We start from the raw sequence: 27,497 nt of genomic DNA on the forward strand, positions 1-27,497 counted from the left end.
TCATTTGTCCATGTGTTCTCATCGTTCAGCTCCCGCTTATAAGTGAGAACATGCGGTGTTTGGTTTTCTGTTCCTGCATTAATTTGCTGAGGATAATGGCTTCAGCTCCATCCATGTCCCTGCAAAGGACATGATCTCCTTCCTTTTTATGGCTGCATAGTATTTCATGGTGTATATGTACCACATTTTCTTTATCCAGTGTATCACTGATGGTCATTTAGGTTGATTCCATGTCTTTGCTATTGTGAATAGTGCTGCAATGAACATACGTGTGTGTGTATCTTATAACAAAATTATTTATATTCCTTTGGGTATACACCCAGTAATGGTATTGCTGGGATTAATGGTATCTCTGCCACAGCAGCTTTGAGGAATCACCACACTGTCTTCCACAATGGTTGAACTGATTTACACTACCACCAACAGTGTATAAGTGCTCCCTTTTCTGCAAAACCTCACCAACATCTGTTATCTTTTGACTTTTTAATAACAGCCATTTTGACTAGTGTGAGATGGTATTTCACTATGGTTTTGATTTGCATTTCTCTAATCGTCAGTGATGTTGAGCTTTGTTCATATGTTTTTGGCCACATGAATGTCTTCTTTTGAAGTGTTTGTTCATGTATGTACTTTGCCCACTTTTTAATGGGATTGTTTGTTTTCTTCTCATAAATTTGTTTAAGTTCCTTGTAGATTCCAGATATTAGACTTCTGTCAGACGGATACATTGAAAAAAATTTCTCCCATTCTGTAGGTTGTCTGTTTACTCTGGTGGTTTCTTTTGCTGTGCAGAAGCTATTTAGTTTAATTAGATCTCATTTGTCAATTTTTGCTTTTGTTGCAATTGCTTTTGGGGTTTTCATCATGAAATATTTACCCATGCCTATGTGCTGAATGGTATTGTCTAGATTTTCTCCCGGGGTGATTATAGTTTGGGGGTTTACATTTAAGTCTTTTTTTTTTTTTTTTTCTGTGAGAATGAGTCTCGCCCATGCTGGAGTGCAGTGGCACGATCTTGGCTCACTGCAAGGTCCGCCTTCCAGGTTCATGCCATTCTCCTGCCTCAGCCTCCCAAGTAGCTGGGACTACAGGTGCCTGCCACCACACCTGGCTAATTTTTTTGTATTATTAGTAGAGACGGGGTTTCACGGTGTTAGCCAGGATGGTCTCGATCTCCTGACCTTGTGATCTCCCCGCCTCGGCCTCCCAAAGTGCTGGAATTACAGGTGTGAGCCACCGTGCCCAGCCCATTTAAATCTTTAATCTATCTGGGGTTAATTTTGTATAAGTTGTAAGGAAGGAGTCCAGTTTCAATTTCCTGCATATGGCTAGCCACTTCTCCCAGCACCATTTATTAAATAGGGAATCCTTTCCCCATTGCTTCTTTTTGTCAGGTTTGTTTAAGATCAGATGGTTGTAGGTGTACAGTTTTATTTCTGAAGTTTTCTGAGTTCTCTATTCTGTTCCATTGGTCTATGTATCTGTTCTTGTACGAGTACTATGCTGTTTTGGTTATTGCAGTCTTGTAGTATAGTTTGAAGTCAGGTAGTGTGATGCCTCCAGCTTTGTTATTTTTCCATAGGATTGTCTTGGCTATTTGGGCTCTTTTTTGGTTCCACATGAACTTTTTTAAAGTTTCTTCTAATACTGTGAAGAATGTCAGTGGTAGTTTAATGGGAATGGCATTGAATCTATAAATTACTTTGGGCAGTATGGCCATTATCATGATATCGAGTCTTCCTATCCATGAGCATGGAATTTTTTTCCATTTGTTTGTGTTGTCTCTGATTTCTTTGATCAGTGGTTTGTAGTTCTTGAACAGGTCCTTCACTTCCCTGTTAGCTGTATTCCTAGGTATTTTATTCTCTTTCTAGCAATTAGGAATGGGAGTTCATTCATGATTTGGCTCTCTGTTGCCTGTGTTGGCGTATAGGAATGTTAGCAATGTTTGCACATTGATTTTGTATCCTGAGACTTTGCTGAAGTTGCTTAACAGCTTAAGAAGCTTTTGGGCTGAGACACTGGGATTTTCTGGATACAAGATGATGTCATCTGCAAACAAGGATAATTTGACTTCCTCTCTCCCTAATTGAATATCCTTTATTTCTTTCTCTTGCCTTATTGTCCTGGCCAGAACTTCCAATACTATGTTGAATAAGAGTGGTGAGAGAGAGCATCCTTGTTTTGTGCCAGTTTTCAAGGGGAATGCTTCCAGCTTTTGCCCATTCAGTATAATATTGGCTATGGGTTTGTCATAAATGGCTGTTATTATTTTGAGATATGTCCCTTCAATACCTAGTTTATTGAGAGTTTTTAATATGAAGGGAGGTTGAATTTTATCGAAGGCCTTTTCTGTGTCTATTGAGATAATCATGTGGTTTTTGTCTTTAGTTCTGTTTATGTGATGAATTACATTTATTGATTCATGTATGTTGAACCAGCCTTGCATCCTGGATATGAAGCCAACTTAATCGTGTTGGATAAACTTTTTGATATGCTGCTGGATTTGCCAGTATTTCATTGAGGATTTTTGCATCGATGTTCATCAGGGATATTGGCCTGAAGTTTTCTTTTTCTGTTGTATCTCTGCCAGGTTTTGGTATCAGAATGATGCTGGCCTCATAAAATAAGTTAGGGAGAAGTCCATCCTTTTCCATTGTTTGGAATAGTTTCAGAAGAAACTATTGGCCTTGGCCAGCTCTTCTTTGTACCATGTTGGAATTCAGCTGTCAATCCATCTGGTCCTGGGTTTTTTTTGGTTGGTAAGCTATTTACTACTGCCTCTATTTCAGAATTCATTATTAGTCTATTCAGCGATTCAATTTCTTCCTGGTTCAGTCTTCGAAGGGTTTATGTGTCCAGGAATTTATCCATTTCTTCTAGATTTTCTGGTTTATGTGTATAGAAGTATTCTCTCAGAGTTGTTTGTATTTCTGTGGGATCAGTGATACTATCCCCCTTGTCATTTCTGACTGTGTCTTATTTGATTCTTCTCTCTTTTCTTCTTTATTAGTTTAGCAAGCAGTCTATCTATTTTATTACTTTTTTTGAAAAAAGCTCCTGAATTCATTGATATTTTGAAGGGTTTTTCATGTCTCTGTCTCCTCCAGTTCTGCTCTCATCTTGGTTATTTCTTGTCTTCTGCTAGGTTTAGGGTTTGTTTGCCCTCAGTTCACTAGTTATTTTATTTGCGTTGTTAATTTGAGATCTTTCTAGCTTTTTGTTATGGGCATTTAGTGCTATAAATTTCACTCTTAACACTGCTTCAGCTGTGTCCCAGAGATTCTTGCTAAAAGAAGCACTAAATATGGAAAGGAAAAACCATTACCAGCCATTACAGAAATACACTGAATTACACAAACCAGTGACACTATGAAGCAACCATATAAACAAGTCTGCAAAATAACCAGCAAGCATCATGATGACAGGTTCAAATGCACACAGAACAATATAACTTTAAATGTATGTAAATGGACTAAATAAATGCCCAATTAAAAGACACAGAATGGAAGCTGGATAAACAGTCAAGACCCATATCAATGGTAACAGTTTTCCCTTTCCATATTTAGTGCTTCCTTCAGGAGCTCTTGCAAGGCAGGCCTGGTGGTGACAAATTCCCTAAGCATTCACTTGTCTGAAAAGGATTGTATTTCTTCTTCACTTGGGAAGCTTAGTTTGGCCAGATATGAAATTCTGGGTTGGAAAATCTTTTCTTTAAGAATGTAGAATATTGGCCCCCAATCTCTTCTGGCTTGTAGGGTTTCTGTTGAGAGGTCTGCTGTTAGTCTGATGGGCTTCCCTTTGTAGGTGACCTGGCCTTCCTCTCTGGCTACCCTTAACATTTTTGTCTTTCATTTCAACCTTGGAGAATCTGATGATTATATGTCTTTGGGTTGATCTTTTCATGAAGTATCTTACTGGGGTTCTCTGGATTTCCTGAATTTGAATGTTGGCCTGTCTTGCTAGGTTGGGGAAGTTCTCCGGGAATGATATCCTTTTTCTTTGTTTGTTTGTTTGTTTGAGACAGTCTCACTCTGTCACCTAGGCTGGAGTGCAGTGGTGTAATCTCAGCTCACTGCAGCCTCCCAGGTTCAAGCAATTTTCATGCCTCAGCCTCCTGAGTACCTGGGACTATAGGCGCACACCACCACACCCAGCTAACTTTTTGTATTTTAGCAGAGACAGGGTTTCACCATGTTGTCCAGGCTGGTCTTGAACTCCTGAGCTCAGGCAATCCACCTGCCTCAGCCTCCCACAGTACTGGAATTACAGGCATGAGCCACTGTGCCCGGCTCTCCTGGAATGACATCCTGAAGTATATTTTCCAACTTGGTTCCATTCTCCCCATCTCTTTAAGTTACCCCAATCAGTCATAGATTTGGTCTTTTTACATAGTCCCATATTTCTCAGAGTTCATTATTTTTCATTCTTTTTTCTCTATTCTTGTCTGCCTGTCTTATTTCAAAAAGACAGTCTTCAAGCTATAAGACTGTTTCCTCTGCCTGGTGTATTCTGCTTTTGATACTTGTGATTGCATTGTGAATTTCTCATGTTGTGTTTTTCAGCTCCATCAGGTCGGCTATGCTCCTCTCTAAATTATTCTGCCTCTCAGCTCCTGTATTGTTTTATCATGATTCTTAATTTCTTTGCATTGGGTTACAACATGCTCCTTTAGCTCAGTGAAGTTCGTTATTACCCATCTTCTGAAGCCTACTTTTGTCAATTCAGCCATCTCAGCCTCAGCCCAGCTCTGTGCCCTTGTTGCAGAGGTGCTGCAGTCATTTGGAGGAGAAAAAGTACTCTGGCTTTTTGAGTTTTCAGTGTTTTTGCCTTGATTCTCTTGTGGACTTATTTACCTTTGATATTTGAGGTTGCTGACCTTTGAATAAGGTTTTTGTGGGGTATTTTTTATTGATGTTGTTGTCGTTTTCTGTTTGTTTGTTTTTCTTTTAATAGTCAGGCCACTGTTCTGTAGGGCTGCCGTGGTTTGCTGGGGGATTGCTCCAGACCCTAGTTGCCTCAGTTTTTCCCTTACCTGGAGGTATCACCAGTGAAGTCTGCTAAACAGCAAAGATGGCAGCCTGCTCCTTCCTCTGGGAACTCCCGTCCCAGAGGGGTAACTGACCCAGCCTGGATGCTCCTGTAGGAGGTTTCTAGAGACCTTTGTTGGGAGTCTCACCCAGTCAGGAGAAACAGGATCAGGAGCCTGCTTAAAGAAGCAGTCTGGCTGCTTTTTGATAGAGCAGGTGTGCTGCATCAGGGTGACCTCCCTGGACTCTTCAGACCCAGCAGGCTGGAAAGGCTGAGGTGACTGTACTGCAGAGACATAAGCTTCCCCCCTCCCCCTGGGGGCTCCATCCTAGGGAAAGATTAGAGTTCTGTTTGTATAACTCTGGCTGGAGTTGCTGAAATTCCCACAGGGAGGCCCTGCCCCGTGAGGAGGGATGGATTCAGGTCCCACTTAAAGAAGTCTGGCCACGATCTGGCATAACAGCTGTGCTATTTTGTGGGGGACTCCTCCTTGTCTGACTACCTGGAATCCCAGGAACCAGCAGGCTAGAACAGCTGAATTGACCTAACTGCAGAAATGGTGGCAGCCCCTCCCGCTGGCAACTCGTCCATTTCAGGCAATCTCCAGCCCACTGCATTGTCGAACCTGAATTCCAAGCCAATGGGTCTTAACCTGAGAGGTGCCACGGAAGTGGGGCCCACAGAAGGATGCCGATTGGCTCCCTGGATTCAGCCTCCTTTCTAGAGGAATGTATGGATGGAACTCCCACCTTGCCAGAAATCCCCGGGCTAGAGACTGTAAAACTCCTGGGTCTCGGCCGCGCACTGTGGCTCACGCCTGTAATTCCAGCACTTTGGGAGGCCGAGGTTGGCGGATCACGAGGTCAGGAGATTGAGACCATCTTGGCCAACATGGTGAAACCCCGTCTCTACTAAAATACCGAAAAAAAAAAAATTAGCTGGGCGTGGTGGCAGCTGCCTGTAGTCCCAGCCATTCGGGAGGCTGAGGCAGGAGAATAGCTTGAACCCTGAGGGTGGAGGTTGCAGCGAGCCCAGACCGCGCCACTGCACTCCAGCCTGGTGACAGAGCAAGACTCCGTCAAAATTAAAAAATATATATATATACACATATATATGTGTATATATATAGTATATGTATATGTATATATATGTGTATATATAGTATATGTATATGTATATATATGTATATATATAGTATATGTATATGTATATATGTATATATATGTGTATATATGTATGTATATATGTGTATATATATGTATATAATATAAATAAAAATAAAAACCTGGGTCTCTATGTGAGCCTGAACGACAGCTCTGCTGAGACTCCACACAGCTCTGTGTATCGAACACAAGGCCCTGGTGGTGTGGGCTCACGAGGGGATCTCCTGATCTAGGGTTTGTAAAGATCTGTAGGAAAGCATGGTTTCCCGGGTGGAGTCAGGAAAGCATGGTTTCCCGGGTGGAGTCACGCCATCACTCACTGCTTCCCTTGGCTGGCGGTGAGGGTTTCTTTGCCTGCGTGCCGCTCCCACGTGGACCGTCACCCCACCCTGCTTTTCTCCATTTTCTGTGGGTCGAGTTGATTGCCTAGTCAGTGCCAGTGCGAGAACCTGGATATTTCAGTTGAAGACGCCAGATTTACTTGCCGTTTTCATTCTTCTCTGTGAGAGCCGTGGAACACAGCTGCTTCTTATCATCCGTCTTGGCCCCTCCCCCCAAAATATTAATATTATTCTTTTTCACCTAGCTGCCTTTTCCTTTCTGAATCAGCTGGCAAACTTCCTAACATCCTTCAAGATCCAGTTTCAAAGTCCCTTTTAACAGTGGCTCAAACCTGTAATTCCAGCACTTTGGAGGCCAAGGTGAAAGGATCACTTGCACCCAGGAGCTCAAGACCAACCTAGGGAACATAGTGAGACCCTGTCTCTAAAAGCATAAAAATTAGCCAGGCATGGTGGCACGTGCCTGTAGTCTCAACTACTCAGGAGGCTGAGGCAGGAGGATCATGTGAGCTCAGGGGGTTGAGGCTGCAGTGAGCCATGACCACACCACTGCACTCCAGCCTGGGCAACAGAGCAAGACCCTGTCTCTAAGTAAATAAATAAATAAAAATAAACAATAGAATCTCCATCTCTAGAAATTCTCCTTTATTTTGTCTATTGCCTTCTCCTGTCTGTGCTCTCCTGGAACTTTAGCGATGTCTCTAACACCTATCGTACTACACATAGAATTTATTTATATGTCTGTCTGTCCAGCTAGTCTGTGAATTCTAGCACCTAGAGCAATACCCAACTTTCAGTAAACAACAGATGTTGACTGGATGGTCTGTGACTGAATGAAGGAAATAGCGTAAGAACCTATGCTTTTCCTCAAATGCTTTACAGTATTAGTTCAGACTTGTTAGTTTATGCATATCTTTGGTGTAACTGACATAACTGTTCTTCATGAAGTCAAATAAAGCTGAAAACCTTAATATGTATCTAACAGGGAAAAAATCTATTTGGGGTTACTGGGACTGTAGAATTGTTGAGTTCCTAGGACTGAAGGTCAGAAACCACAAAGAGGTAGAGGAATGGGAAGGAAGTGACTAAGAAGGGCAGCATACTAACTGGTTAACTGTTATCATCACAGAAACCAACAGTAGCTCTGATTTACATTAAGTTGCTTCAACTCTAGGAGTAGTCTTGATTTCTTGGCAGATTTTCTTCTTAGATGACAGTGCTTGGCTTTCTGGCCCTTGACATTAGTAAGACCTTCTCCTGCTGAGTCATTTGTTGCAGTTCTCTCTGGCATCGTTCCTCTATGGATTATGTATTTCCCCTTCCTATTCATTAACATTGTTTTCTTGATAGATTCTGCAGCTATTGTCATTACAGTTGTAAGTACCCTTTGCCCTTGGAAATTACATGGTATGGTTAATGAATATTTTGGTTGAAATGTTTTTGTGTTACATTTTCTGATTTATTCTTAAAAATTATCTTAAGAATAAGAAATAAGAATAAAGAGTAAAAAATACATTTCTAAGAGCAAGGACCTTTGAAGTGCAGCTATTAATGTTAATAGACTTTATATTTACAATAAAGATCTCAACATTTTAAGTGAACAAAATTTACTGAGGGAAAAATAGAGTAATAGAAAAATCTTATTAAGGATGATTCAATAAGCCTTTCAACCAGCATATTCCTGGCATACCCCTATGTGCAAGAAACAAAGTTAAATAACAAAAATGTCCTAACTTGTACTTCTTCACAATCTACAGGAAATACTCTAATTGTAATGCAAACTAATAAGAGAAAGCATTATAGTCTATGTAATAGGTATGAATCTCACCTTACAAACTTACATGTATAATAAATATATTTATTATTTTCTGTATTCATGCTTAATTATTTTTTTGTACCAATCCCCATCTTCCAGACCAGCAGAAAATTGATTCTGGTAATTATTTGGTCTTTCTCTCTCATCCTCTTACCTGGGTGATTGGAATGGGAGAGAAAGAAGAGTGTTATTGTTCATTGTTTGCCTGTTTGCAGGACTCCATAGGATCGGGATCTGTGTCCTGCAGGAGAAACAAGAAGCTCTTAAATGGCTGCAGATGGTTTTCTCAGCCTAAGTTCCCAGTCTACTGGGAACTTAGTGGGTAGAGGGTGCCTGGCCATAGAGAGGCAGAGTCGTCAAATGTATGCAGCCCTGGTAAGATGACTTTGGCATTGCTTGGACTCACATCCTACGCACACCGTATCTGTGTGTGGTCTTGTGCAAATTTTTAAAAATTTCCTCAGCTTTAGGTTTGCATCTGTAAAGTGGAGATATGTATATTACCTACCTCACAAAGTTGTGGTGAGGACAAAACGAGCTAATTTAATATAAATTGCATAACACAATATTTGGCACATAGCAGTACTCAGGGAGAGTTAGCTGCTATCATTATCTTGCTGTTGTTGTTGTTACTGGAAACTGATACCATCATGCTCAAGGCATTACCAGAAAGAGTATATAGGTCCCCTTTGATCTTGGGATCTCCAGAGTTCTTTCTCTTCCTCCTTTCTCTAGCCAGGGAAATCTTTGTAATCTAGGACAAAGGCCCTATGTTGTTTACCACTTTCTTCTAGATTCTCCACCTCCAGTTGCATATCATTTTATCTTGATATTTTTTCCTAGGGTCACATATCAAAATGTCCTCAATAGCATTAGGTTAGTTGTGTTTTCTTTGTTTGTTTGTGTTTGGTGGAGGACCTTCTTCTACAAAAACAATGGCCCAGGGCCCTCCCCTTGCTTGTTTTGGGGGAGGAAGAAAAAAGGGAAAATACAGAAAGAAAAAACCATTATTTTGTATTTCAAAATGTTATTTAGCCACACTGATGCAAAGTGGTAAGAGACATTAAAATGAAAAAAAATTAACTCTCTTTGGGGAAAGAGGAAAGAAATCTCTCTGAAGGAAAAGAAAAATTCATTCGTTCTCCAATGTTTTATCTGTAGTCTTGCTGAGTGCCTGGTACATTGTAGGCATATAATACATTTTCGTTGGATAAATGAAATAAATTCCTGTAAGAAGAAATAGCATGGACAAAATTATGAGCCTTAAAAATATTTAAGTGTTCAGAGAAGTAACAAGTAGATGGAAGCACAGCTTTAAAGGATGAAGGGAGAGAAAGAATGCATGCAAAAATAATAGATTTTTTTTTTGAGACAGGGTCTCACTCTGTTGCCCAGGCTGGAGTGCAGTGGTTCCATCTCGGCTCACTGCAACCTCTGCCTCCCAGGTTCAAGTGATTCTCCTGCCTCAGCCTCCCGAGTAGCTGAGATTACAGGCACACACCCCCACACCCAGCTAATTTTTGTATTTTTCATAGAGATAGGATTTCAACATTTTGGCCAGGCTGGTCTCAAACTCCTGACCTCAACTGATCTGCCTGTCGTGGCCTCCCAAAGTGCTAACTTACAAGTGTGATCCACTGTGCCCAGCCTAGAAATTTTAAATGCTTTAAAACTAACCAGTGTGAACTCAGTGGTCTCCCTAAAATGCTTAAATTTTTCCCATAACAGAAGTATAGATTTAAGCAAGGGAGTGACAATATCAGTTATAAATAATGGGGATTATGGTACAAGACTAGATGCAAGAGAGAATAGAGAACTAGCAAGTTCTGCAGTGGTCCAGAAAAGAAGATTGAATTGTTGGATATAATCACCTGCTCCTCTGTAATAGAATTATATATCCACACTCTTGCCACAGCCTTGCAGAGAGGAGGACTAAGTGAACTTCCCCGCCCCTTCGCACTGGGCTCTGCCATGTCTTCCTTTGACCACAGATGCTAGTGGACATGACTCAGGCATAAGCTTGAAATGTGCTTGTGCCATTGGGCTAGCACTTTGAGCTCTGGGAGCACTTTTACCTTGGGGAGAACATGCCTCAGTAAGCCACTGCCCTCGAGCCTAGGCCCCAGAATGAGACACATGCTACAGGCCTGAATCCAAAATGCAGCCTGTAGCTCAGGGACTCAACTCTAGAGTCAAGCCTCACCCAAATGAGACTCATGAGAATGAAAAGATGTTGTTCTAAGGTAGCCACTGAATTTTAGTTTCCTATAGGGTACTCTGGATTCCAAAACTTGAGATCTTTAAAACTCAATACCCATCTCTTCACACTGCTGTCTCTGCCCTTGACAGTGCTTACAAGACCATTCAAAGTTTTGAGAAAGTTCTACTTTGTTGGGTGGAATCCTTGAGGAAGCCTGTTACTTTGTTCCTAGAAAAAAAATAGAATAATACCAACCAATTATTTGAAAGAAAAACCTGAACTCAATGAAATAACTGCTATGCAAATGCTCACAAAATGAAAAGGTAAGGTTTTGTAATATAAATTAGGGAATTTATCAGAAGAGTTTCCACAGATTGTGTTTAGAAAATGTTTCTTTTCACAAAATGGGTTTCGGTCATACTGTAAACATCAATTACTAAATATTTGCAGAGTTGTTGTCTAACTCTATGAATTCTTGAGCTGTAAAGCAAAGATGGAAAGAATGGTACAAAATGGGTTTCGGTCATACTGTAAACATCAATTACTGAATATTTGCAGAGTTGTTGTCTAACTCTATGAATTCTTGAGATGTAAAGCAAAGATGGAAAGAACGGTACAAATGTCTTACAGGCCCAATCATGCCATCACATCACGCTACCACCAAGAAGCTGGACTGGCTAAGCAGTACACAATCACCTGGTCAGCTGCATTCCAGTGAAACCTTGCTCAAAGCAGAAAAATCCTGTATTGCAGTAAAGCGTTGCTTAAGGCAGAAAAACCCTGTTGGGCTATGGTGTTGTGGTGTTTTTTGATGGCTCCTAAAGAGAGCACAACTTAGCTAGGTGGGAAGTTTTCCCTGAAGAGAGTGTAAATTTTCATGGTCAATCATTCTGAGTGAGCTCCAATATTGAGGCAGAAAATGAGGACCCAGGCCTTAGGTTGGGGTGAATGGGAATCTTCACTTTGGACTAGGGGTTTCTGCTGGACTCTGAGTCAGACACATGCTGGGACTTTCCTGGTAAGGAAATGTCAGCCAGCCTCAAGCTGGACCAATAAGAAATCTGAGGTTCTGTGTATTTTAACAGTAGCCATTTTTATAGCAATTGTAAGTTACTCTCTTTGTCGCACTTTCCTTCATGATGCCTGAACCTTTAATAGTTTAGTTAACATTTTATCCTGGTCTCAATTGTGCTATGGGGAGTAAGGGAGGAGGTCTACTTTTTTCAGGTGGAGAAGAGCAAGTGTCACTCTTGCCTGAGATCAGAAAGGCAGTAGTGGTGGTGGTCATTCTTGGAGGAAAAGGGAGTTGAGACCATATGTTTAGTGGTCTCAGGAGGCCGGCCAATGGCAGAGACAGCAGTGTGATGAGGAGGCCACCTGCTCCTGAGCATATGGGAGGCAGTACCCGGGAAAATCCTCAAAAGTTAAGAAGTCTAATTTCCAGTGATTAGGCTGGTATGGGCTCAAGCTATGATAATTTTGGAATTAAAAGAAAACATGATCTTAATTTATAGTTACTAGCTGGTAAAATCTGGAACACTTGGATTACAGAAATTATTGCAAAATATTTTTCAGATTTATAAAATACTTTTTCTTTAAGATGTAAAATGAAAGAAACCTCACAAGAAAATTTTAAAATCACAATCCAAAATATGATTCTCACAGATAAATATGTTTTTCACTTAAAAAAATTTTATCTTTGTAAACAATAACTAACTTGTATGGCAAATTACCACTTACCTGGACATATGGAAGGGAGGTAGATGATGGGAGGTTTTGTGGGGACCATTAGTAAGAAGTTACCTTAAAAAAATGCTTTTCTTGATGCCAAGAGCATATTAATGAGACAGAGGAAATTATATTTTTGGCTTTTTAATGATGCATTTGGCTTCTCTCTTTAAAGACTACTCTCCTAAAATTAAAACATTAAATTTGGGGGGAAAATGTATACTTTCAAAAAATGCAGGGCATTGTCTTTTGGTTAATTATTTATAGCAGCTTAAAGTCACTTCCCTTGCCAAGTAAATTGAAGAATTAGATTGAGGGGGAAAAAAAAAAAAAACCTTTGTCTCCCTGTTCAGAAAAAGAATGTATGTCTGGTGCCTTTCAATGAAGTTAGGTTTTAAATGATATTCTTTAATATCATTTAAAATATTTAAACTTGAAAATGTGGCCAGGTGCAATGACTCACACTTGTAATCCCAGCACTTTGTGAGGCCAATGTGGGTGGATCCCTTGAAGTCAGGAGTGGAAGACCAGCCTGGCCAACGTGGTGAAACCCTGTCTCTACTAAAAATACAAAATTAAAAAAAAAAAAATTAGGTGTGGTAGCACCCCTCTAATCCTAACTACTCCAGAGGGTGAGGCAGGAGAATCGCTTGAACCCAGGAGGTGGAGGTTGGGTTACCCAATCCTGCTTGGGTAACAGAGCAAGACTCTAAAAAAAATTTTTTTAAAGCTTTTTTTAAACAAAACTCCTGACGTTTTATTTATTCATTTCTAACATTTATGAAATAGAAGACTTGACAGATTTTTCCATGCGTATGGTCCTTTTGCTTTGCTAAGAGTTCTTAAATGAAAGTAAGGATTAGTTTCAGTATAATGTATGATAAGAAAAGAATATTTACTTCTATGAAATCTTTAAGAATAAAGACATTCATTGGGCACTCAGTACATTACACTCTTTTGTAGTACCCTGATATGCACATTTTATATTCAGAGCCATCTTTAGTATCCTATATAACAGAACAATTTGGTGATATATAAAATAAGAAAATAATTACACTAGTTTTCTAAGATACACATCCTTGTTTTTCATAGAAAAGATAATACAAACCTTACAAAAAGACGTTTTTTTGTTTTTTTTTTTGTTTTTTTTTTTTTTTTTTTTTTTTTTTTTGAGATGGAGTCTAGCTCTGTCGCCAGGCTGGAGTGCAGTGGCGCGATCTCGGCTCACTGCAACCTCCACCTCCCGGGTTCACACCATTCTCCTGCCTCAGCACCCCGAGTGGCTGGGACTACAGGCGCCCGCCACCACGCCCGGCTAATTTTTTGTATTTTTTTAGTAAAGATAGGGTTTCACCATGTTGGCCAGGATGGTCTCGATCTCCTGACCTCGTGATCTGCCTGCCTCAGCCTCCCAAAGTGCTGGGATTACAGGCGTGAGCCACCGCGCCCGGCCGAAAAGTCATTGAATCTTTTAAATGTGCTTTTAAATCATTCTTAAGTGATCCCAGCTCTCAACATGTCAAAAATAGGACTATCATATGTGGAAGGGCATATGGAGACATTTTTCCTTCTCAGAAAATGGAGTAACAACGGTTAATTTGGAATTTTAAGTTCTTAAGTTCTTAATATACATTTTCTCTTGAGAATCAGTATTACTTTCTTGCTTTCATTCACAAGCATAGTCCAGGGCTTCCTCTTGTTAATGTATATATATTTATAGAACATAATGAAGCCATGCCCGATTAGCCCTGGGCACTTGCAGGGCCTGGTCAGAATGGTAAACAACAGGATGTGGGGGACCTAACTCCTCAAGAATGCCAACACCCTTCTATCTAGAGGGAAAAATAAGCAACCTGTGTGCACTACTAAAAATAAATTAATTTTATTTAAAATCTATTATTTGATCTACAAAAATGGCACAAAAAATTAAATATTTCTCCTAATATAGGATGTATTAAAATGTTTCTTTAGTGCTTCTTAAATGTATATCTTTTCTTTTTTCTTTCTTTTTTTTTTTTTTGAGACAGAGTCTCGCTCTGTCGCCCAGGCTGGAGTGCAGTGGCAATCTCGGCTCACTGCAGCCTCTGCCTCCAGGGCTCAAGTGATTCTCCTGTCTCAGCTTCCTGAGTAGCTGGGATTATAGGTGTGTGCCACCACGCCCGGCTAAGTTTTGTATTTTTAGTAGAGATAGGGTTTCACCATGTTGGTAAGGCTGGTCTCGAACTCCTGACCTCATGATTTGCCCGCCTCAGCCTCCCAAAGTGCTGAGATTACAGGCGTGAGCCACCATGCCCAGCCAAATGTGTATCTTTTCAAAGTACAATAGTATCCTCATAAATAGAAATAGCTTGTGAGGAATATCAGCGGATACCAGCCGAAAGAACTTCAATGCATAAAAATGAAGTGTGTTCAGACTAGAGACCTTTCTATTATTAATGAAATGGAGCACCATGAGGAAATGCAAGGAGACAGGAGTAATAGCAAAGTCATAAATTAAATAGTGACTTAAAAGCAAGAGTTCCTTACTTCCCCAGCACATGATACCTACCTACTAAAGTTTATTCAGTGGGATATAATGAAACAGTACTATTGCTTCAAAGGAATAAAATCATTCAACGTATAGAAAAATTATTTCAATATCAGGGATATTAGGGTAAGTGAGATCAAGCACCTACTGCTCTTCTTTTAATAGCTTGTGCACCAAAAAAGACTCATGTCTTTCTTGGCTCCACACACACACAGCCTTTTATGAACCTTTATATAATGTATATTTTCCTTTCATCAAAACAAAAATTAAAGTTTATCATGAAGTTTGAAGTTTATCATGTCTGAACTTGCTACACTAGAGTTGAGCTTTGCAATGTGATAACATTATACAAATATTCATACTAAAATAGAAGTCTCAGAATATAGAGAAGGCTAATTCATCATCGCCCAAAACTGCAATAACTGTGTACAGCTTTGGATCCATCTCTGTGATGCCCTTGGTACTCCTGTAATAGCCCCTTTGAAAAACTCCCAATTAAGGTAAAGCAGTTCTTCTTATGTCTCTGTAACAAAAAGGAAAAGGAACTTTTGAAAAGAAAGTTCATTTGTAGGGCCCATTAATCTTCATTTAAGTACCTCTAGTAAAACACATGTATCATATTTATTTCTGATTCTTCAGCCCCTAAATAGCATGAAGTCCATTACTCAATTGGTTCTCATAAAAGCTTACTGAATAGAAAAATAAATGAAGTAAGTACAATTGTAGAATATCTACACTGTATCTATATATATAGATATAATGTAAAGCTAAACACAGTACCAAACACTTGGTGAATGATCCACCAGAATAATGAGTCAAATAACCAAAAGCAACAAGGTGTGATTTCTTTTATTCCCTTGGAGTCTATAAAGGATTTTTGTAGCTCAGCTAATATGTATAGCTAGAATTCTTTACTTGGTGTGGAAATGATCACTTTCAGATAATAATGGCAAACAGTTTTTCTTGGCAAATTATCAAGAAACAAAAACTATAGGACAGGCATAGTTAATATTGGGGTAAAATAATTTAAAAAAAATACCGTTTCACTGTGAATTACCAACTGATCAATGTACCTTTTGAGCACCCGTAGTGGTATACGAGTAGTTTGACCTCTCCTATTTTCACTGATCCTTCTGCCAAATTATCACTTCAGTCTTTGGAACTCCTTTTTTTTTTTTTTTTTTTTTTTTTTTTTTGAGACAGGGTCTCACTTTGTCACCCAGGTTAGAGTGCAGTGGCACAATGAGGCTCACTGCTGCCTCCACTTCCCTGAGCTCAGGTGATCATCCTACCTCAGCCTCCCAAGTACCTGGGACTACAGGCACGTGCCACCACAACCAGCTAATTTTTGTATTTTTTGTAGAGACAGGACTTGTTCCCCTTGCCCAGGCTGGTCTCAAACTTCTGGACTCAAGCGATCCACCTGCCTTTGCCTCCCAAAGTGCTGGGATTACACATGTGAGCCACTGTGCCTGGCCTGGAACTACTTTTCAAGCTATTAGATACCTACAAACATAAAACTGCTTTCTTGCATATGTACAACCACACTTGCACCCCTATCTCCACTACCTACCTCCCAACCCCAAACACATACTCTTCAGGAAAAATACAGTACTACTACTACTACTAATAATAATAATAATAAAATATTGATAGCAAGCGAATAAATGGCACACAATATATTTGAAGAGGCTTTATTTGCAAAGAAATTATGTGAAAAGGAGTGCATGGAGCATATATTGGAGCCATGAAACATCATTAAGAACCCAGAGCTATTAGGATTGATTCCCTTATGAAAAATAAAATGAAATTAAAAAGAACCCAGAGCTATTAGCTGCTAGCCATCTACCACTACCGCCATAGGCTTCGGAAGATTTGGAAGTTGATAGAAGAGGAGAGTGTATCACAGCAAGCTACTTTAAGAGGAAGGACTAAAGACTTTCTGTGGAGTGAACATAGCCAGCCTGAGAAAACTTCACACGGAAGTAAATATCATATCTTCTCTCTATTCCTTCCCTGCCATCTACTACTAGGGCTTTCCACTGGCAAAACCCAACCAGAAGACCGGGGGGCTAGAGACTATTGATATAATGGAAACAAGTCAACCCCGGGAGGAAAAAGGCAGGATAGAGAAGGATAGCAAGAGGATTTGTAGAAGAAAAGAAAAGTCATCTGACATGGCAACATTGGAAGGAGCCTGAGCAGAGCAGAAAAAGTCACTGATTTGCAGCAATGAATGTTTCATAGATGGCTCTTATCTCCCTGTGGCAGAAGGCTTTGAGTGTGAAAGACCCTGGAAATAATGGGATTCTGCTCCCAGGGAACTCAACAAATACTCATTGATCAGCAGCTACGATGTGTCAATAACTATTCTAAACAGTAGGGATTTGAACATGAATAAACCATGGACACTGTCCTGAGGAAGGTCATAGCCCAGGAAGAGAATCAGGCCCATAAACAGACAATTACAACACAATATAAAAAGTCCCATCAATGAAAATATGAACTCCTTAAGGGCATGGACTGAATCATATGCTTTTTTGTATCACCAGAATGCAGCAAAATGCCTGCCACATAGTAAGGACCAAATAAATGTTAAATAAATGAGAGGTATAGGGATTGTTCACATAGGTAAGCTCGGAAGAGCTAGGTCTGCTCTCTGATGAATAAGTCTTCAGCATATTTGTGAAATGGGCAAAATTTACAGCTCACAGGTATCTTTTTACACCTCCATTTAAAATATTTTTCATTGCTTGTTCTCTAAAAATATTTAGGGTTTCCTTTTATTGCATATGTGCTCAGTGAAGTACTCCATCAAACTTATATGGACTGCCTTCTTTCCACTGTCGTTTAAGACTTATCCCATGTACTTAGGTCCCTACTTGCACTATATATACACATATACACTTTTAAATATGCATGTGTGTTTTTAAATTATTCAGTATATAAAATATTTAATTAGATGATAAGGAAGACACATTGAATCATTGGGAAAAGGATGGTATACTCAAATGCTGTGGAACACTTAGCTAGCAATTTTGGGATGAAGGTAAAATTAAAATCTAATCCATGCCTTATATTACAATAATTTAAGATTGAATTAAGTTTCTTCTTTTTTTTTTTTTTTTGAGACGGAGTCTCACTCTGTCACCCACGCTGGAGTGCGGTGGTGCAATCTTGACTCACTGCCAGCTCCACCTCCCAGGTTCACGCCATTCTCCTGCCTCAGCCTCCCAAGTAGCTGGGACTACAGGCGCCCGCCACCACGCCTGGCTAATTTTCTGTATTTAGTAGAGACGCGGTTTCACCGTGTTAGCCAGGAAGGTCTCGATCTACTGACCTCGTAATCCGCCTGCCTCGGCCTCCCAAAGTGCTGGGATTACAGGCGTGAGCCACTGCACCTGGCCTGAATTAAGTTTCTAAAATGAAAAATAAAATGATAAAAGTATAAGAAGAAAATTTGTAACCTATGCTCATCTTAAGATAGGAAAATTTGGGTATAGAGAAAAATAACTGTTGTGAACAAAGGTGACAAATAAATGACGAGAAAAATATTTGAAACGTATATGACAAAGGCTTAACTTAATCTCCACTTCGTAACAGAGAAGAGGGCATTATGACTAGGCTTAGAAGGCAATTGGGAAAATAATGTTTCCCCAAAATACAAATAAATCCACAAATATAAACTTTCTCTCCAGTGTTCTGGCTTAGTAAATGAATAGAAAACATAATGTAAAATTATACCAAGACTAGCCAGAGTATGAACAATTTGAGGAAATACACAGGTTTGTAAAGAACGCTTACAAATCAATAAGAAAAAATAAACACTTCAATAGAAGTAAAAGGCATAAAAAAGCAATTAACAAAAAATATAACTGGACAACAAACATGAAAACAAGTTTTTATTTTTAATCTGTCAAATTGACAATGATTAAAAGAAAGATTAAAATCCAACCTGAGATAAAATGTAGGAAAATTGGCACTCACTTTTTTGGCAATACAAATTACTTCAGTGTTGTAGTCAATAGACTTTTACACTGCAAGTGAAAGATGGCCATGATATTGTCAAACAGAAGCCAAATTTTAAAAAATAAAACATACTGTGGCTATTTGATAATATGAAGGAATCATGGTTAATTTGTTAATGTTTGATATTCATATTTTTGTTTGTTTTGTAGAAGAGTTATCTTTTAGAGGAACATATTAAAACATTTATGGATGAAAATAATAGATCATATAGATTTGCTTTGAAATAATTTAGGGTTGGAGGATTAGAAGAAGGTATAGATAAAACAAGATGGCCAAAGACTAATAATTGTTGCTAGGCATATGGGGATTTCATTATACAGTTTTTCTACTTTCTTATAAGTTGAAAAAGATTTTCCATAATAAGGTTTTAAACTGTTTATATACTAATGTCCAAATTTTATTAAACAAATGATATCATATATGCATGATGCATGAAAAAAGAACTGATGAAAGATACCAAAAGTTATCTTGGGACCAATCTTTATTTTTCTCTTTAGTTCTCATACGTTCTGAAATTTTTACTATGAACCTAAGTTACTTTTGATAGCTAGTAAAATAATTTTTTAAAGATTGTAGTCAGTGCAGTCACCTTAATCTTATAAAACAGGAGCCATGAAAAATGAATTAACATATATTTTTCTAGAAGACATTTTTACTCCCAGGTAGTTCACCATTTTTATATTATTTCTCTTCACTCTACCTACTTTTAATGTAGGATTACCATGCATACTGGTCATTGTTTGAGATTTACTTTTCTTTCATAATTTATTTTCTATTCAATCCCTTTTCTTCTTCCTACTTGGTACATCTCAATATTAGGCCTTCATTTTAAATAAACTAACCACAATTATAGATTATTAACTAAATCCAACATTTTGTCCCATCATACTTTCATCTAAAACTGGTGAGAACTCATTTACAATGTAAGCTATTATATTTGTAACACAGAACAATAATTTTTAAATCTTAAGATGTTTCAGATATTCAAGCAGACACGATTGTAATGGGACTTGCTGGCAGTAATGTTAAAGTCTACCAAAGTAGAACTGCATTCTAAATGATTTTTTTTTTAATAACAGCAAACTAAATTTGTCCCCTGCAGTTAGGCAGATTAGGGTATTATAAAAACAAAAAGAAAAGTGACACTTTTACAAATGGAGTGTTGTGGGGGGCGGGGGGCAGTGAAGTGGGACCACCTCCAGTTAATTTTGAGGAACACATAAACTGTTAACCTCTCCCCACTGCAAATTTTGAAAAACACTTGTTTTGTAATAATAATAAGAATGTGATCGTTTATTATTATCATCACAACATTGTTTGGGCATCTTACGTGGTCACCAATCCTACTAACCATCTTCTCAGGTCTATATTAGTATACCTCTATTACAGTGGAAGAAACTGAGACTCAGGAAGATTAAGCATGTGGTTCAAAGCTGCACAGCCTGGATTCAAATCCTATGTCTGTCTTATAACAAAGCCTGTGCTCTTTTGATTCTACTACCTTGCATTTACAGACTGATCGCATTACACAGATTGATAGGGAATGAAGGGGAGAAATGGTAGGGGCAGGAGAGTATGCAGTGTGGCAACAGTAAAGGGAGAATAAATACTCATTTAAGCTGTGGTGGTTATTCTTATTCTATGCTTTCAGTAGTAAATGTGCACTACAGGAATTTATATCAACAACTTAAATTTACAAAGACATACCTCTTGCCGTTTGCTGCATACCAATGTGTACTAGGATGATTCATGGATTCAGAGGATATTAAAACTAGAAGAAACAATAGAGATCATCTAATGGAATCTTTTCCTTCCCTCTACACATAAAAAAGAGGAATAAGAGAATATTGTCAAGTGTTCCTTCAGCTATAAGTTCAACTGCTATTGCATTTATGATAGCAAAAAAAAATTGAGTGTGAATTTAATTTTGTCTGAAAACCCCTAAAATGGCATACATATCTATACACCAAGTATAGTAAATACCTCATATATTCAAGTAAATATGTTACAGTGGAAGAAGGGGCAAGACACTGAACTGGAAATGGAAGCACAGGGCTTTGGTTTCACTCAGGTTTCTAACAAGTTTTGTGACTTGGATTACTTCAACTGTCTTGTGAGTAAATAGAAGTAATTGGACTAAGTTCCCTTCTCTTGGGCTCTCCAAAGGGGAATAACTTGCAAGTTCTAGTATTGAGGATGCAGCTCCTTTGCTAACAGACAAGAGTGTGTTTGCTTTCCCAAACTAAAAGTAAATCCACAGGTATATACTATATCTCCCCAATGTTCTGGTTTAGATAATGAATAGAAAACAGCAATTCCAGGTATAGTGTGAACAATGTGAGGTTATCCACGGTCTTTTTAGACATTTGCACCCTAGTTAAGATACTGTAAACTTAACCGAGTAGAAAAGAAATCAGAGTGAGCAGGGAACTGATGCTCTAGGATCTTAGGTAATTGACAATCAATACAGCCACAGAAGAATCAGAAACATTGATTTATTTAAGTAAAAGAAAGTATAGCTACACAATATTTGCCCTATGTTCTCGATCAGGTTTTTAAAAACTAAATTTGGTAAAGCGCAGTGGCTCCCGCCTGTAATCCAAGCACTTTGGGAGGCCGAGGCAGGTGGATCACGAAGTCAAGAGATCGAGACCATCCTGGCCAACATGGTGAAACCCCCATCTCTACTAAAAATAAAAAAATTTTTTAAAAATTAGCTGGGCGTGGTAGGGTGTGCCTGTATTACCAGCTACTCAGGAGGCTGAGGCAGGAGAATCGCTTGAACCTGGGAGGCGGAGGTTGCAGTGAGCCAAGATCACGCCACTGTGCTCCAGCCTGGTGACAGAGTGAGACTCCGTCTCAAAAAACAAACAAAGACACTAAACTAAATTTATTGTTTTACTGCCATATTTGGTTCTATTGATTTATAAATAAGTGATATAACTTATTAATATATGGCATCTACTTTTTATGTAATTCAGGTAAATCTGACAGTGGTTTAATAGCTACTAAAACACTTGACTCATGTAGTACCTGTGGGATGATGGCATTAGCTACATTTTCTTTTTTTTTTTTGAGACGGAGTCTCGCTCTGTTGTTCAGGCTGGAGTGCAGTGGCGTGATCTTGGCTCACTGCAAGCTCCACCTCCTGGGTTCAAGCAATTCTCTGCCTCAGCCTCCAGAGCAGCTGGGATTACAGGCACCCGCCACCACGCCCAGCTAATTTTTGTATTTTTAGTAGAGACGGGGTTTCACCATCTTGGCTGGGATGGTCTTGAACTCCTGACCTTGTGATCCACCCACCTTGGGCTCCCAAAGTGCTGGGATTACAGGCGTGAGCCACTGCACCCAGCCTATACATTTTCAAAGTCTTTTAAAAAATGGCCTCAATATAAAAATATGATGTTATTTTTGTAGTAGCATCACAAGCGGCAGGCACTGCTGGAATCTGGAAACCGAATCTGCAAATCTATGACAGTCATATTTTTTTTTTACTACCCCCACTCACCAATTTGGTGATATTCCTTATACTTTTTCATTCACATATGCTTCATTCTTTGACTCAAATGACATAGTAACACAGCTGACAAGAAAAAAATTAACAATGGCTTTGTCTGCTGAGTAGTGATATAGCTTATTTTGAGGGGGAAAAAACTAGTGCTATTTTAGGACCCATTTACTCTAGGGCACTGCATTTTTCCATTATTTGGAAATTCTGTTCAAGTTTAAGTACTTCTTCACAGTGTTTTTGTTTGCTAGTGTGTGTATGTGTGCCATACTTTCAAGCATGTTAACCATAACTAGAAGTCACATGAACTCCTTTATCCACCTTATCAGATTTATTGGTAATTATTCATCCCTCTGGCTAAGAAATATTGGAAGGGCTTAATTTTCAGAATTTGAAATTGGTGTTTAGATTGAATCTCTGGAAATAAAGTCAAGCTCTGACAAATCTCTCTTTGTCAAATAAATATGAGCAAGTTAAAATATGGATGTGGCTGCATGTTTCATAGACAAAGCCCTCCTAGAAAGCCTTTTGATGTACCTACAGAGTTGGATAGCCTGGCAGTTCCATTGGCCATATTGCTATACTCTAATATATACGTATATTAATTTACTAAAACCTGAATATAATAATATATACTAACAGCAAACCAGGCAATGTTGGAAATGTCACTGGGTGTAAACATAAGGTATAGAAGCCAGAAATAAAAGAAGAGAAGGAAACAAAAAATAGAGGGCAAAGATAAAGGTATAGTAGAGACCAAAAAAGCAGGTGTAAGGGTAGCAAAGAGTACCAAAAAGAAATTTAAAATAAGATGCAGAATGGTAGTGAGAAGTATAATGTCCATTGTCACTACTTAGTAGTGTGACTTATTTCATTCTTAAAATTGACCTGCAGTTTTTTATCATAAAAGAAACTCATATTTATTACATATGGCATATTTAGAAAAATGGACTTTTGACAGGCTTTAAAGCTTCAAAAAAATGTTGGCATTATCACCCCCATTGAAGGTTAAAAAAAATAGACACATGTAGCATTAAAATATTTCCACAGTCATTCAAAAACTTTTCACAAGTCTATTCCCTGGCTCAACACAACAATGTCTTACATTGAGCAACTGTTAACATCCTTTAAAGGTAGCAATAAATAAAATATTTGTAAAACAAATAATATTGTAAATATATATAAATGAATATGTAAGTGAAACATATTCATTAAAATATTTTATTAAAATAAAGACTCACTTTGAAAAGTGAATAATTCCTAGATTATATTTTTAAAATACATATCTAGTGCTCATTTACTGCATTTTCTGAGTATGGTAAATCTAGGTCTTTGCTGAAATACTATATTTTTCATTTATTTTATTTATAGTATGTTCCAAAGCTACTTAGTTTTTAAATTAACCTATCCCACAAGTAGGCTCAACTAATACATTCTATTTTCCCGCATATGGATTAATATGTTCTAGTCCCCATTCTGTGTGTCTTTAGACCCATGAATAGTGTTCAGGGCAATATGAAAACAAACCCTTAATTAAACATAAAAATATTCTAGAGAACTACTCAGAATAGTACTGACAGATGTTCAACAGAATACTGTTTTTCTAGTAATTGAAAAGCAATTAATAGAAAAGAGAAACATGTACTTCTTGTCTCTTTTGTGCTGTAACTTGTAGCAATTTTATTGCCAAGGCTTTGTTTGTATTCTTTCATTGTTGGGGTTTACAAAGATGTTCACTCTATAATTGAAAATTGAAGATACATCTTCTCTTTTCTCCTAGAATTTCCATTTATGTCACTAGGCTTTTTAGATCATTTCTTGTTAATACCTTGGATGAACGAAATACAAAAGCTTTGAATTTTGTTGCTTACCAAAACATACATGATAGAACAGCATCTCTGCTGAGATTTTTGTATGTTGCTGAGATTTAAAAATATATATTCTTTTGGTTGGGCACGGTGGCTGATACTTGTAATCCCAGCACTTTGGAAGGCTGAAGCGGGCGGATCACTTGAGGTCAGGAGTTCAAGACCTGCCTGGCCACCATGGTGAAACCCAGCCTCTACTAAAAATACAAAAATTAGCTGGGAGTGGTGGCACGTGCCTGTAATCCCAGCTACTAGGGAGGCTGAAACAGGAGAATCGCTTGAAGGAGGCAGAGGTTGCAGTGAGCCGAGATCACGCCACTGCACTTCAGCCTGGGTGACAGAGCAAGACTGTCTCAAAAAATATTAATAATAAATAATTATATATATATGTACTTTTGATTTTTATGGCTTGTACCTTCTCGTCAAATGCAGAAAATACTTGATTATATGGTAAATTTTATGGATTGAAATTTGAATAAGATCATTTGCCTCCAAAACCCAGAATGCATTTTTTAATAGAAGAAAATAGAACCTGCAATTTCCAAAATAGGGAACTGGAAGGAAACATACCTGCCTATTTTCTCTTCACTCTAAAGGCATTTAGCATTTTTATGTTAGCCCACTACTCCCCTAGGCATGTCACTAAGTCTAGACCTGCCCTATTGATCAGTTTTTCACCTTTAGGAATTTAATTATGTTATTCCCCTAAATGGATCTTAAAAAGAGTTTGTTTGAGGTTTTTAGTAAGGAAACCCAGATCCCCCCATTTCTAGGGAACCCTCTTCTATCTAGGAAGCTTGTCTTTCCTGTTTGGGTGTGCAGCTTAGAGAGGAAATCACAGGAAGTAGTAAGGTAGGAGGGGATAGTAGCAAAGTTAATTATCAGTTTGTAGATAATCACTTTACATTTTTATTCTTTATTCAATTAGCGCCACTTTTAGTATTAAAAATATAAAACTTGCAAGCATAAATGCATGGAAAAGAGTGAAAATAGTTTTGGGCAGAGAATCTTTAGGAATTTATCTTATTACACCATGTGAAAAGCTGCTTCTAGCCTTCCACCTCTACACTGTCATAACAGACATCCAGATGAGGAATCAGGAAGAGAATAGAGCTACCGTTGCTGTTGCTGAGAGAATGCATAACGAAATTGATTTTCTTGTCTCTGTGAAATTTCACAAAGGCTATACGTTGAGACTTTGCGGCCAACTTTATATCTGTAAACTTGTGCAGTGAGTGTAACCTGACACTATATAAATAGGTGGGTAACCTGGCTTATTTAAGTTTGTGGCGTGTGAGTTCAAGTAAATTCTTTTGTCTTTGGCCAGAATAATTCTCTTTTTCCATCAATAAGTAGTCATTCATAAACGTGAATAAGACATGATCCCTGACACTGAATACTTAACAATTTCATGGGGAAGACAAACACGTAAATCAAATCAGGCAGATAATCTATCTTGAGTCTGGATCAAATAACTGGAGGGAAAAAAAAGGCACTGTGGTATCACCAATGTGGTACTTTGGGCTCTTTCAGATCATTCCAAGGGCATGATAGTTACCCTGTTGATGACCAGCAGTCTATACTGTGGCTAAAAATATAAGCCTCATCGAGTTTCTGACTAGCTTATGGCCAAGAAGCCAGGAGCACTAAGTTAGCTTCCTTTTGTGTAATGATGACTCAGACAATATCTCCAGGTGCCATTTCATTTTTATTCTTCCTAACATATTTTATATTTGACCCCAGTCACAAACTTCTCACTTTTGTTTTGTTTTGTTTTGAGATTGAGTCTCACTCTGTCGCCCAGGCTGGAGTGCAGTGGCCCGATCTCAGCTCGCTGCAACCTCCACCTCCTGGGTTCAAGCAGTTCTCCTGCCTCAGCCTTGCGAGTAGCTGGGAGTATAGTCGTGTGCTACCATGCCTGGTTTTTTTTTGTTTTTTTTTTTTTGTTTTTTTTTTTTTGTATTTTTAGTAGAGACAGGGTTTCACCATATTTGCCAGGCTGGTCTCAAACTCTTGACCTCAGGTGATCTGTCTGCCTTGGCCTCCAAAGTGCTGAGATTACAGGCGTGAGCCACCATGCCTGGCCAAACCTCTCATTTGTTATTAAGTTTTATTCTCCTTAAGTTCCTACTTTGGGTTTGAGTTTTAATTCCTAAAACTTTCTTCTGGTTCTTCTTTCAAACACACCTTATGGTCCTTCATTCTTGTATCTGACCTTAATCCTAGAATTCCAGCCCAAGCCAGATGATCAAGATCCCTTCTCACTCCAGAGAGCAGTTCAGGAAATCATGGAATAGTTCATTACATCACCATATAGCCAAAATCATTTCATATTTCTGTGGTAAATAAGTAAAAAGTAACAATAATTTTTTAAAACTAAATTTATAATCTCAGAGATATTTCTATGACATTGGCAAAACCAGGAAAAATTCAAAGGCTAAAAAAATATTTTGCAGTGTCCTGTATTGTTAGTATTCCCCTGAAAGTTTTTTTATTTTTTTGGTTGGGGAGACCCTACCTGGACAGTTTGTAATAGGAATCTTTTTTAATCATCAGACCATACTCTAAATTAGTTAAGCCCTCTAAGTAATAAACAAAAACGTTTAAACAGAGTCACATGGCTTGAAAATACAACACTTAGAATTAGTTGCAAATGTTACACGTGAAATGTCAGAGGGTGATGACATCCAGCAGCATAATTTAAGAGGAATAGTGAGTTCTTTGTGCATGGCAGCCCAGTTTCTCAATATCTATCCATTTGCCAAAAGAGCCCCGAGTGACCCAAGCAACCCTATAAAAAAAGAGCCTGTGACTCTCTCTTCAAAGCAACTGAGGTAACAAGACATGCACTGCTGCCACTCCTGATGAGACCTGAGACCTTGGACCCTTGGGCAGAATTGCTCTTCTTCACCTGGCAGGATAAGGCAGAATAATTTCCCCTGGGGGCCTACAGGTTGCCTGCACAGTGATCCTCCTCCTTCTACACTATCAGTCTGCCTAGTACTCTATCTGGAGTAGTCAGAAGCTATTTAATTCCCTTTCTGCTAGATTTTCTTCTCTACTGGGTTTAGGGTTAATTTTGTTCTAATCACATTATACACATATTTAAGAGAACTCTCTATGCACTCCTCTCTTTAATATATCTTGTCAAGGTAATTTATTAAGCCATTATTTGCTAACATTAAAGGAATAGGCTAAGTCTGTGCTTCTTCAATCAAAGCACATATACCCATGGTTTATGCATTAATGTAGTGGGTACTTAAAACCACAGAAGAAACATATCGCA

At 38.5% G+C, this 27,497-nt stretch overlaps 1 long non-coding RNA gene across 1 annotated transcript in view, besides 1 other annotated feature; it reads left to right on the plus strand.

Moving 5' to 3' along the window:
• Positions 1 to 27,497, plus strand: part of LOC101929380 (uncharacterized) — a 127,874-nt gene that overhangs the window by 23,908 nt on the left and 76,469 nt on the right. The gene's annotated exons all lie outside the window — the stretch shown is intronic.
• Positions 7,544 to 7,744: a silencer, noted in NCBI's record as "peak5332 fragment used in MPRA reporter construct". NCBI's record gives its function as "represses an SCP1 promoter by STARR-seq MPRAs in K562 erythroleukemia cells {active_cell/tissue: K562}" and the evidence as "EXISTENCE:reporter gene assay evidence [ECO:0000049][PMID:32103011]".

Source organism: Homo sapiens, chromosome 5 (assembly GCF_000001405.40).
Source record: "Homo sapiens chromosome 5, GRCh38.p14 Primary Assembly".
In the NCBI taxonomy this organism is placed as follows: Eukaryota; Metazoa; Chordata; class Mammalia; order Primates; family Hominidae; genus Homo; species Homo sapiens.